We start from the raw sequence: 14,193 nt of genomic DNA, 5'->3' as shown, positions 1-14,193 counted from the left end.
ATGCTTCCAGTTTTTGCCCATTCAGTATGATATTGGCTGTGGGTTTGTCATAGATAGCTCTTATAATATATTGAATTGAATGTCCAGGACACAGATTATAAAATTGAAAGAAGCCAGATAAAATAGAAAATCGTATTGAAACTATTACAATAACTATGGTCCATGGTCTCGTCTGGCATATTTGAAGTACTTTATCATTGACCTCAACTGTTGCCATCTCTGTGCTGCTCCATAATTAATAAATATATTTTAAAATAAGAATAATTTTTTATATACCTTTTTCTAGAAAATCAATTATATGTTGACTTATAGCTTACCTGATTCTTAGAAAAATAAAAACTGAGATTTAGAGTAAAATGAAGACAATGAAAAACTAGAAATCACTGATTATTGATGAACGTAGTATGAAGCAGAACATGTGAAGGAATGACCTGTAATTTCAGCAATACAAAAAAATAATGTGTAAAGCATATTCTTTCATTTAATAAATATGTATTAATAATCTCCTTTGTGATAGGTACAAAAAGTCCAGATACTCCAAGAGCTAAAACACTTCTGGAAGAACCTCATCCAGGATATGTATTTATGTTCTTCTGTGGCTAAAATTCTACAGAAATAACATTATGTGTAAATGTCAGGAGTTAATTACGTCATATTAGAATAGTATCTAAACACAGAAGGACAGAAAAATTATGCCTCTGTCTATTCTAAAGTATTTGGAATACAAAAACCTTCCCACTGAAAACAAATATAAAGTGTAGACAAAAATATTTGAAAGAAACCAATACCAAAAAAAAAAGTCCACAAATGGCTAAAAGCATAGATGAACAACCAAAGCAGCCACGACTTGAGAAGCCAAGATGTCAGATGGACGTGAAACACACTGAAATATCCCTGTGTTTCCTCGGGATACTTTTTGAATTCCAGTGCACAGTAGAAGAATGGACAAATTTATAGAACCTAGAATTTACACTTGTCTCACTAGACCAGGAGGACAAAACTGTGTGAATAAAAGTTCAACAAAAGAAAGAGAAAAGAAAGAATTAGGCAAGATGGCAGGAAGGGAAGAAAGAAAGAAGGGAGGGAGGAAGGGAAGAAAGAAAAGAAAATGAAAGAATGAAAGAGAAAGAAAAGAAAAAAGAGAGAGAGAAAGAAAGAAAAAAGAGAGAGAAAAAGAAAGAAGGAAAGAAGGAAGAAGGAAGGAAGGAAGGGAGAAAGAAAGAGGGAAGGAAGAAAGGAAGGAGGGAAGGAAGGGAAGCACAGAGGGAGAGGGGTGAGGAAGGGAGGGAGGAAGAGAGGGAGGAAGGGGGAAAAAGAGAGAAAGAACACCTATATTTCTGGATTTGAGCAAGAAGGGGGCCTCTCTTAGACACATTTAACAGAATTTTAATGCAAATTCTTAAAGTCTGATAATAAAGGGAGGATTTACATTTATAGGAAAAGAATGATCTATCCTTACATTATGTCACAGCAAAAAAAAGCTCTATAGAAAAATATCATCCAAATTCCCCACAACATTTTGTCATCAATATATGCAGTTGAAACTCTATCAGACACACAAGTCAACATATACAATTATTTGAAAACCAGACAGAAAAATATTCCAGATAATAGACCCATAAGTGAACTAGATATTGGAGTTTTAATACAGAAGGTGTAAGGCAACTATAAATAAAATATCAATAAATTATAAAAAAGTAGAAATATTTTTGCCAGAATAAAGTGCCAGAAAAAAAAAACAAATGGGAGGCATAAAATATATATTCAAGAATTAAAAAAATTAAATGTACAATTCAATAACTGATAATTAGCAGCAAAATTGACAAACCAAAAAGAGAATTAGTGATCTATAAAATATGCTATTAAAAATTCAAATTGAAGCATATATTAGTTCATTTTCATGCTCCTAATAAAAGCATACCTGAGAATGGGCAATTTACAAAAGAAAGAGGTTTAATGGACTTACTATTCCACATGGCTGGGGAGGGCTCATAATCATGGCAGAAAACAAGGAGGAGCAAGTCACAGCTGTAGATGGTGGCAGGCAAAGAGAGAGCTTGTGCAGGGAAATTCCCCCTTATAAAACCATCAGGTCTCATGAGGCTTATTCACTGTCATGAGAACAGCAAGGGAAAGACCTGCTCTCATGATTCAATTACCTCTCTCAGGGTCCCTCCCACAACATGGGGGAATTCAAGATGAGATTTAGGCGGGGACACAGCCAAACCATATCAAAGCACAAAGAAAACTAGGCAGGAACAATACAGAATAAAGCATGAGAGACATTTATGCCCTATGGAGTGTTCAAATATACATACTTTCAGAGTCTCAGAATGAGAGGAGAGTAAAAATATTCAGTGAAAATGTTACAATAAATATTGGAAGAGGTTTTTTCATACATGCTGAAAGCCATTACATTCATGGAGTTTAATGAAACAACAGTAACAAAAAAAAATTAAACAAAGGATGAAAACATTGTTAGAAAAAAAATAAAGGTGAAGTGATAGCAAAGTGTGTGTTTGTTTTGAACAGAAAGAACTGTTTCATTGACTCACTGTGGTAGTGATGATATGTGTTAAAATCCATAGTATTATACACCAAAGAAGGGTAAGTAAAATATAAATCAGGTGAAGAATTGTGACAGATTGCCTTCTATGTAACAAAAAGACTGAAAACAAAACAAGATTTTCCATAGAAATGGTGGATCCTAGTATAAAAGGAAATGAAATTTTAATAAATATTAACTCACAATTCTTAAATATTTTATTTTGCCTTTTTTTGATAATTTTTTTAAAAATATTTTTCTTTCTGTATTTCCAGTTTAGGAAAATTCTGTTGACCTATAATGAAGTTTACAGATTTTTCCTCATATCTGTCCAGTCTACGGATTAGATCTTCAAAGGTATTCTTTATGTTTATTACAGTATATTTTTATTTCTAGCATTTCTATGTGTATAATTGCATTGTCCTTCTGTTCTTACATGTGGTTTATTATTTTCATCATGGTCTTTAATATATTAAATATATTAAGTTTTATTAATATTATTTTTAATAGACAAATCATAATTTTATACATTTATGGTGTTCAATGTGAAGTTATGATATATGTATACTATGGGAAATTATTATATCAGGTTAATTAACATAGCCATCATCTCACCTATCACTTTTATGGTGAAAGATTTGAAATTACTCAGTTATTTTGAAATATGCAATACATTGTTTTTTACTGTAGTCACTCTGCTGTGAAATATATCTCAAAGCCTGTTTGTCATGTCCCCTTTGATCAAGAACTTCCCATTGCCTTCCTCCTCACTCCTACAGCCTCTGTTAAACATCACTGTGCTCTCTACTTTTTAGATTTCATATATAAGTGAGATTATACAGCATTTATTTTTCTGTGCCAGTCTTATTTCACTTGGCATAATGTCCTACAGACTCATCCATGTTGTCACAAATGAAAGGATTTTCTTCTTTTTTTAAGGCTGAGTAGCATTTCACAGTGTGTCTGTGTGTTTGTTTTTGTGTGTGTGTGTGAGAGAGAGAGAGAGAAAGAGAGTGAGAGAAAGAGACAGCTTATCCTTTCATCCATTGATAGACATTTAAGTTAATTCCATATCTTGACTATTGTAAATAATACTGCAATGAACAAGAGAGTGCAGATATCCCTTCAACATATTAATTTCAATTCCTTTGGATATATACCCAGAAATGGGATGGCTGGATCATGTATTAGTTCTATTTTTAGTTTTTTTCAGGAATCTCCATACCATTTTTCATAATGGCTGTGCTAATTTATATTCTCACCAACAATATGCAAGAATTCCCTTCTCTGCATCATTGCCAACACTCATCTTTCATCTTTTCGATAAAATCCATTCTAATGGGTGGGAAGTGATATTTCATTTTGGTTTTAATTTGCATTTCCCTAATAAGTAGTGATGGTAAGCATTTTTTCCTGTACATATTGGCCGTCTGTATGTCTGTATGTCTTCTTTTAAGAAATGTCTGAGCCGGGCATGGTGGCTCACACCTTTAATCCCAGCATGTTGAGAGGCCAAGGTAGGCAGATCATGAGGTCAGGAGTTTGAGATCAGCCTGACCAACATGGTGAAACCCTGTCTCTACTGAAAGTACAAAAATTAGCTGGGCATGGTGGCGGGCGCCTGTAATCCCAGCTACTCAGGAGGCTGAGGCAGAAGAATCCCTTGATCCCCGGAGGGGATGTTGCAGTGAGCCGAGATCACACCATTGCACTCCAGCCTGAGCAGAGCGAGACTCCGTCTCAAAAAAAAAAAAAAAAAAAAAAAAATCTGTCCTTTGCCCATTTTTAATTGGGTTGTTTCCTTGCTTGAGTTGAAAATAATTAGGTTGTTTCCTTGCTTGAGTTAAAAATCCAAATAAATGGAAAGCTATTTAGTGTTCATTAATTTCCAGAATTAATACTGTGAAAATGTTCATACTACCCAAAGTGATTTACAGATTCATTGTAATCTCTATAAAAATCCCAGTATCATTTTTCACAGAAATGGAGAACACAAACTTTTAATTCACATTGAACCTCAAAAGATGCCAAGTAGCCAAAATAATCCTTAGCAAAAAGAATAAAATTGGCAGCATCACTCTACTTGACTTCAAAGTATAAAGTAATTGCATCAAAACAACATGGCGTTAGCATAAAAACAGACACGTTGACTTATGGAACAGGATAGAAAGCCCATAAACCTGCCCATTTACAGTCAATTGATTTTTGACAGAAATTTCAAGAACACACAATGAGAAATGGGCAATCTCTTAAATAAATGGCATTTAAAAATTGGGTATTTACATGCAGAAGAAAATAATTGGATCCTTATATTGGATCCAAAAAAAGGAGACCTCACGAGTTCTAGAACTGACCTTTGGATCCTTATAGTGGATCCAAAAAATTGGATCCTTATATTTATATTTAGGGGCTGAGGGCATGGCACCTTTTATATTTAGGTTTTATATTTTTATTTAGGGGCTGAGGGCATGGCAGCTTCCAAAACAGACCCCTTCAAGGATAGTAAATCTTCCTCCTCGATTTATTATCCTCGAGAATAATAAATCTTCTCCCTTAAGGAGAAGAGCTCTAAAGGAGTTCTAGACTAGCCTGGCCAACAATGGTGAAATCCTGTCTCTACTAAAAATATACAAAAATGTGCTGGGCGTGGTGACGTGCACCTGTAATCCCAGCTACTCGGAAGGCTGAGACGGAAGAATCGCTTGAACCTGGGAGGCGGCGGTTGCAGTGAGCCAAGATCGCACCATTGGACTCCAGCCTGGGCTACAAGAGCAAAACTCCGTCTAAAACAAACAAACAAACAAAAAGTCTGAGTTATAATCCATTATTATACTGGAGACTTGGTTTATTGGTTAGGTGTGGGAGGACAGGAGTGTTTCTATAGTCGTCTGATTACTTCTTAGTCCTTCAGTGGGCCTATGTATCACGAGTGTGGCCCTCACAAGTGCTTCTTTCCTTCCTTCGGAAGTAGAGCTTTTATTGCCCCCTGTGCTCTAGCTGCAGCATTCCTAATCTATGCTTTTTCATTTCAGAATATTTTCCTAGAACAGTGTAATTCAATAGAAAATCAGTAATAAAAATATTTCAAAACTCTAAAAACATCACCAAATACATCGTACGTATTTTAGGAAAAGAATTATGAAACATATCAAATCCTGGAAATTACAGCTGCAGAAGTACTAAAATGGAAATACACAGTATTTGATTCACATAGTAAATATAATGTTGAAAATTAATGATTGTGCATCAATCTCAAAAAACAAACCAAAATAAAATAGAAATTAGAAACCAATAAAAGATAAATAAGTGAAAATACATAAAATAAGGAGTTATAGATGATATATAGATAGCTATAGATATAGCTAGATACAGAGATACAGATAAATATAGCATTTCTTCCTTAAGTTTCTAGTTCAGAGAATTGTTGAAAAAAATATTGGAAACAAGTAGTAACTATAATTTCAGAATAAGTATATATAATACTGTGCAGTCTAAGCATAAATTTAAAAACAAGAAAACAGAGCTCTGCATTTGCTTAGATAAAATATGCATGAAATAATTAATTTTTAAAAGAAATTGAACATCTCTTCTGGATTTATGAAATAAATGTAAGTGACACTGTGTGTGCTGTTTTTGATAACTCAGGTCTTAGCATTATAAATTAGCTGCCTCTTAGCTCTCTATGCATATTTATAAGCACAATTATGAATATTCTTAATTGACTTTCACCTTTTAGAATGTAACTTATATTTTAAATTTTGTTAATTAAATCAATGTTTTTTAAATAAATTACATTTCATGTCCACTATTTTTATTCAATCCACAATTATTTTTAGCAGAGAAGAATTTTGACTGTCAAAAAAAAAACTACCATTTAAGAAAATAATCATTTAGTGAAATACAACACTTGGAAGCCAAAAAAAAAAAAAAATCTTATCTTAACATATCTAGTAAAGTATCTTCACAATGCTATTTTTTATAAAAGAAAAAATTTAATTACTAACAACAGAAAATAAAATAAAATTTACAGTGAAAAATCTATAATTCCTCTTATAAATGCATATTTGAATTTATTTGGAATAGCAATCATACTTTCATTTTGAAAGATAATGAAAAATACATGATTTAAACAAAGATCTAAACTTGTCTAATGATTTTAAGAAAATATTTTAAGACAGTCTGTTCAAAGTATGTAACTTTTTTTACTGTGTAAGAATTAAAAATGCCCTGAAATTTGCTATATTATATGAAATCTATTTTTTCAATTTCTAATATTAATGATTATTATGTGACTAAAGAGAGTGTAAGTACATTTATTTTTAAAACTGTAAAAATATATGGTATAAATAAACTAATGGGTTTACTACATGTCACAATGAAATGGAATTTATGAGATTATGCATGGCTAAGTCTGAAGCAATTGTCATATCTTTGAGGAATGGACAACTTGAAAATACACTTAGTTCTTAAAAAGCACCGCATCTCAACCAAGATCAAATAAAATATTTTATTGACGGTCTCTTTTATAGCTGATTAGCTTTTTATCTTCGGAGGGGTAGGACTTTCCTTTTTTTTTCCCTCTTGACTCTTTTTGCTAACACTATATTGGAACCAAGCAATCTACCATTACTCCATTTAGTTCCTGGAAAGGCATAGATCAAAGGCTATTAAAATTGAACTACATTAATAACACATAGAATACTATTGAAAATTTATGTTTGCATGTTTGTATTTTAAATAGAATGTCTTTTAAAATAATAAATTTTAATAAATCAATAGTGCGTTTCTGTTCAGGTTTTAATTTTTGTGACTTAGTACTTTAAAAATGTTTTCTGAAGTTCTCTGTAGATACAGGCATGGAAACTGCAGTCTGTCTTCTTCCATTGGTGAAAAAAACAGAAAATTGTAAAGTATGTTTTTATTAATACTTGAAATGTGCTTGTAATTGTGTTAGCTTTTCAATGCATTTCAAGAAGCTTGTAAAAGTATCTTAGATGGAAGTGAAAATGTATATTAATCTTGGCATGAAGTAGAGAATACATATTTACATTTGGTATTGTTTGATTTGGCATTTCAACCTGTAAGAATCCTTAGTAGGGGAAAACACCAGGGGAGCCATCTGCTGGTAAAAATATGACCTGTGGACATGACGTATTTCTCCTGTTAAATTTAAAGAATCTTAGTACAGCTTATTAACCGAAGACATCAGTTTATGCAGAAACATAGTAAGGCAACACTAATGAAGGAATGAAACAAAGTGGAAGGCATAACATATATATTAATACTTTTTCCTGACTTAAGGACATTGAAGTTATTTCATTCTATTTACAAACAATGTATTTTGAATATTGTATTTACATTTATGCATCCATGCAGTCACCCATTTCTAAGTAGGTAAGTATTCTTTCAATTAAATATATTATTAAATTTGTAAAAATATTGGTAACTTATAAATACAGACTTCCAGCTTTTGTGTTCAAATTTTCAGTTTGACATCTAAGTCTAGATTTTAATAATTGCAAATATTTATGAGAGGCTGGTGATATTTATTTTTCAAATAAAATATTAATTTCCCTAAGATATTTATTTTTGTTAATTTAATACCAGCACATGAAAATCGTAGCAAAAGATGATTTTTTTGAAGATACCTTTACAGTACTGTGATTTTAAAAGACCAAGACAACAAAGTTTATTTTTTTGTTGTTCATATGTTTTATGAACAGATTAATAATTGACAGCAATGTTTTTTCTTTCATATATTTCAGACCCTTGATAATAGTTATATTCAAAATAATTTTCAATTTTCCATTTATTGGTTGTTGAAATTAATGAAGCATATTGATAGAAGAATAACTTATAAACATGCATTGAATCTCAGAATAAAATGGCATGTATAAATGGCCTATGTCAGCTTTTACTATATTAAGTCAGAAAATATATGAGTTGAATGAATTTTCTTGGTAGAATAGCACATTTGAAATTTTTTAGAGAAAACTAATTTGTGTGAGTTTAACAATTATATTACATAGAAAATATATGAACAACTGTCATTAATTTTATTTACTATTTATGTATTTGATTTTTTAAATAATTACTTAGTAAACAAACAGTAATAGTTGGTGATTACATGTTGAGTATCTTCCTTAGTATAATTAAAGTATGCTTGCTTTTTTAAAAATTTGCCTTCATAATATTGAAAATATAATTTTTAAGAATTTTTTAATTATAAGATTATTCTGCAAGCATGTAAATTTTAATCTGCAATGAACACTGAACTATTCATCTTAAAACTTGACTGTAAATGTTACATCAATAAATGAAAAATATACTTACTTTAGCAATATTTCTATAGATAAGTAGAAAGAGAGCAAGCCAGAATTTCATATTGCTGTAACAAACCTGCATCGTGGAAAAGATCAGACTAGTGTACTAGAAAATGCCTGCAAGCAGCAAATCTGGATGCTCATATTAGGAGAGTTACTGCAGGTGACATCTATTCCACACTGAAATGTCATAAAGACAATGGTGCAAAGGGAGAGTCAGCACTGGGTCAGCAGATACTGAAAAGTAGACTTAGAGGATGTCAGCATAAATGTACTAGTAAAACTCATGATCATGAATGATGGTGCCCTCAAGGAGCCTATAAATACATACACATTCAAGTGGAATTTTGAATGATCCCTGTGTGATTCTTTGAATAACCTGGGCAAAACTAGTTTAATACAAACACATGACACATTGTAACAACCGAAACTTGTTACAGAGTATGGCTACATGAAATTTCTTATAAAAAACAAACAATTTGAATTCAAATAGGAGAAATAACTATGCCTGCAGCTTATGAAGGAAAATATGTTGTCAAAATTTAAAATAGTAGATGCATTTGTTTTCATTTATTTAATATTTATATAGCATTAATACAACTGCCATTGTTTTAAGTATTTTACAGATATTAACTCATTTAATATATAAGAAACAAATATAACTCATGCATTACTGATTAAAAACAGAGTTTTTAAGAATTGATCAAGTCATGTAACTAATTATCAGAGGATCTGGGATGAAAATTCAGGGTCTTTCCATATGCTGCAGAAGATCATACATGATTATGAAATTAATAGAATCAGACAGCAAAACAAAATTTAGAAAGCACATAAAGATTTATTTCAAAATAGTATTTGTAATGTTCTCCAAGAAAAGAAGCAAGTAGTGAGATTGAATCTTTTATGAGTTTGAATGTAAGGTTTTAATAACAGTTATAAGAATTTTGGAATATCATTTTGTTGCTCCGGCACATGACATTGGTGTAAAGTAGAAACAATAAGAACTATTATATTTGGAGTTCTTGTGTGTTTCTCACGTTAAAAATGAATGCATTAGTAGATTTTCATTTTAGGTGGATCAACTCATCTTAATATTCCAAGAACATTTTTTGCTGTACCACTGAAAGTCCAGCATCCTGAGAACCTCACATGTCCTAGGCAAACAGGAACAGATTACCACTCTCACTCTGCAGTCAAAGGCAACAACAGACATTGGTTATGTGCCACTTTCTGGTAGAAAACATTATAAAACCACTGAGATGTTTGCATCTGTTATCAAATTTTCTGTATATTAATCTATATTTTTTTAGAAAAAAATATGTTGGGATATCGACTGTAAAACAGAATGAAGTAGATTGTGTGCCCCAGAAGAAAAAAAAAAAAACTAGAAAAGCTGCATTAAGAACATCTATGTAAAAACATCAGAGAAATATTGACGTCTCCAAGACAGGAGGGGCCATCTTTCTGGTGAGGGGATTATGGAAGACAGCAGAAATGACATTCTGAAGTAACATTTTTTCCACAAGTGTATTTGTGGATCTGGACTTAAGTCATTTAAGGCTTAGAATCTGAACATTTCCTAGACACAGGGACTCTGCTAGGTACAGTGAAACCAGTGGACATACAAGTGTTCTTTTGCGGCTGAAATACAAAAGTGTAGCATGAAGGGCAAGATCTTGATGAGAGGAAAGACATGGAAAACTCAGCCTAACAACCAGACTATCCCACCTCACACACATATACAACTCTTAAGCTGCACAAGTTCAGGGTCTAAACAATCAAGCAAAAAGCCTCTGAATGACAAGCCATAGCATTCCTGCAATCTCAGCAAGCCAAGGAGGAAAAGATTAGAGGTCAGATCCCTCTATTCATTTATTTATTTTAAATTTACTTTAAGTTCTGAGATACGTGTGCAGAACGTACAGGTTTGTTACATAGGTATACATGTCCCATTGTGGTTTGCGACACCTATCAACCCGTCATCTAGGTTTTCAGCCCCACATGCATTAGGTATTTGTCCTAATGCTCTCCCTCCCCTTGCCTCCCACCCTCCCACAGGACCTTGTGAGTGATGTTCACCTCTCTGTGTCCATGTGTTCTCACTGTTCAACTCTTACTTATGAGTGAGAACATGCAGTGTTTGATTTTCTGTTTCTGTGTTTGTTTGCTGGGAATCATGGCCTCCAGCTTCATCCATGTCACTAAAAAGGACATGATTTCACCACTGATTCCACAGAAATACAAACTAACATCAGAGAATACTCCAAACACCTCTATGCAAATGAACTAGGAAATCTAGAAGAAATGGATAAATTCATGGACACATAATCCCTCCCAAGACTAAACCAGGAAGAAGTCAAATCCCTGAAGAGAACGATAACAAGTTCTGAAATTCAGGCAGTAAGTAACAGCTTACCAACCAAAAAAAGCCCAGGACCAGATGGACTTACAGCCAAATTCTAGTAGAGGTACAAAGAGGAGCTGGCACCATTCCTTCTGGAACTCTTCCAAACAAAGAAAAAGAGGCACTCCTCACTAACTCATTTTATGAGGCCAGTATCATCCTGATAGCAAAACCTGGCAGATATAAAAAAAAAAATTCAGGCCAATATCCCTGAAGAACATAGATGGAAAAATCCTCAATAAAATACTGGCCAACTGAACCCAGCAGCACATCAAAAAAGCTTACCCAACATGATCAAGTTGGCTTCATCCTTAGGATGCATATTCAACATATACAAATCAATAAACGTAATCCATCACATAAATAAAAGCAATGAAAAAAGTCACATGATTAAGTAGGGAATCCTTTCCCCATTGCTTGTTTTTCTCAGGTTTGTCAAAGATCAGATAGTTGTAGATATGCGGCGTTATTTCTGAGGGCTCTGTTCTGTTCCATTGATCTATATCTCTGTTTTGGTACCAGTACCATGCTGTTTTGGTTACTGTAGCCTTGTAGCATAGTTTGAAGTCAGGTAGTGTGATGCCTCCAGCTTTGTTCTTTTGGCTTAGGATTGACTTGGCGATGAGGGCTCTTTTTTGGTTCCATATGAACTTTAAAGTAGTTTTTTCCAATTCTGTGAAGAAAGGCATTGGTGCTGGGAAAACTGGCTAGCCATATGTAGAAAGCTGAAACTGGATCCCTTCCTTACACCTTATACAAAAATCAATTCAAGATGGATTAAAGACTTAAATGTTAGACCTAAAACCATGAAAACCTAGGCATTACCATTCAGTACATAGGCATGGGCAAGGACTTCATGTCTAAAACACCAAAAGCAATGGCAACAAAAGACAAAATTGACAAATGGGATCTAATTAAACTAAAGAGCTTCTGCACAGCAAAAGAAACTACCATCAGAGTGAACAGGCAACCTACAGAATGGGAGAAAACTTTCGCAACCTACTCATCTGACAAAGGGCTAATATCCAGAATCTACAATGAACTCCAACAAATTTACAAGAAGAAAACAAACAACCCCATCAAAAAGTGGGTGAAGGACATGAACAGACACTTCTCAAAAGAAGACATTTATGCAGCCAAAAAACACATGAAAAAATGCTCATTATCACTGGCCATCAGAGAAATGCAAATCAAAACCACAATGAGATACCATCTCACACCAGTTAGAATGGCAATCATTAAAAAGTCAGGAAACAACAGGTGCTGGAGAGGATGTGGAGAAATAGGAACACTTTTACACTGTTGGTGGGACTGTAAACTAGTTCAACCATTGTGGAAGTCAGTGTGGCGATTCCACAGGGATCTAGAACTAGAAATACCATTTGACCCAGCCATCCCATTACTGGGTATATACCCAAAGGACTATAAATCATGCTGCTGGAAAGACACATGCACACGTATGTTTATTGTGGGACTATTCACAATAGCAAAGACTTGGAACCAACCCAAATGTCCAACAATGATAGACTGGATTAAGAAAATGTGGCACATATACACCATGGAATACTAGGCAGCCATAAAAAATGATGAGTTCGTGTCCTTTTTAGGGACATGGATGAAATTGGAAATCATCATTCTCAGTAAACTATCGCAAGAACAAAAAACCAAACACCGCATATTCTCACTCATAGGTGGGAATTGAACAATGAGATCACATGGACACAGGAAGGGGAATATCACACTCTGGGGACTGTTGTGGGGTGGGGGGAGGGGGGAGGGATAGCATTGGGAGATATACCTAATGCTAGATGACGAGTTGGTGCAGCGCGCCAGCATGGCACATGTATACATATGTAACTAACCTGCACAATGTGCACATGTACCCTAAAACTTAAAGTATAATAAAAAAAGAAATATGTAAGCAATAAACAAAAAGTTATGGTTGTGTTCCAAAAAAAAAAAAAAGAAAAAAATCATGATTATCTCAATAGATGCAAAAAAGACCTTTGATAAAATTCAGCATTGCTTCATGTTAAAAATTCTCAATAAACTAGGTATTGATGGAACATATCTCAAAATAATAAGAGCTATTTATGACAAACTTATAGCCAATATTATACTTAATGGGCAAAAGCTGGAAGCATTCCCTTTGAAAAGCAGCCCAAGACAAGGATGTCCTCTCTCACCACTCCTATTCAACACAGTATTGGAAGTTCTGGCCAGGGAAATCAGGCAAGAAAAAGAAATGAAGTGTATTCAAGTAGGAAGAGAGGGAGTCAAATTGTCTCTGTTTGCAGATGACATGATTGTATATTTAGAAAACCCCATTGTCTCAGCCCAAAATCTTGTAAGCTGATAAGGAACTTCAGCGAAGTCTCAGGATACAAAACCAATGTGCAAAAGTCACAAGCAATTCTATACACCAGATTCCTCTATTTCAAAGTCTTGAAATAAGTGCCCTAGAAGCAGACTGATCAAAGAGACACAGCCCAAGTGTTATAGCTCTTTTACAATTTGTCTAGTAGGTTTTCCAGTTTTCACCAGAAAATCCCGCATGGAGAAAAAATAAAAGGTAGACACAACCAAATGTTCTTTGAGGGTCAAACGTTATAGACCCCCGAAGAAATGTCTACCAGGAACCATTTCTGGAATATAGAAATATAGGCTGTGAGCTATATGCACAGATGAGTGGTTCAGCTCATATATGGGTCCAATAAAGACTATCTAGCATTTTCAAATTTAGAGAGGTAAACATGCAAACAGAATCCTAAGAACATTTTAACTATAGCTGAGGTGTACTTTTTTCTTTCCTAGAGTTTAGATGGCTTCCTGATTTATAACAGCTTTGCATGTATTAAGGTTGGCATGACTAGCCACATTGAATCCTAATATAAAATGCTCCACAATAGCATCAGCGTCAG

The 14,193-nt window shown here is 33.7% G+C and overlaps 1 pseudogene, besides 1 other annotated feature; it reads left to right on the top strand.

The window, feature by feature from the left end:
* Window positions 1,957-2,126: an enhancer, noted in NCBI's record as "experimental_66489 CRE fragment used in MPRA reporter constructs". NCBI's record gives its function as "activates a minimal promoter by MPRAs in K562 erythroleukemia cells, with activity observed for both the introgressed and non-introgressed 3:163199777 variant alleles {active_cell/tissue: K562}" and the evidence as "EXISTENCE:reporter gene assay evidence [ECO:0000049][PMID:34662402]".
* Window positions 13,765-13,824, top strand: RNU7-82P (RNA, U7 small nuclear 82 pseudogene; annotated as a pseudogene).

This window comes from Homo sapiens, chromosome 3 (genome assembly GCF_000001405.40).
Source record: "Homo sapiens chromosome 3, GRCh38.p14 Primary Assembly".
Lineage (NCBI taxonomy): Eukaryota > Metazoa > Chordata > Mammalia > Primates > Hominidae > Homo > Homo sapiens.
Note: the sequence above shows the minus strand (reverse complement) of the source record. Positions and strands in the feature narration are given on the sequence as shown.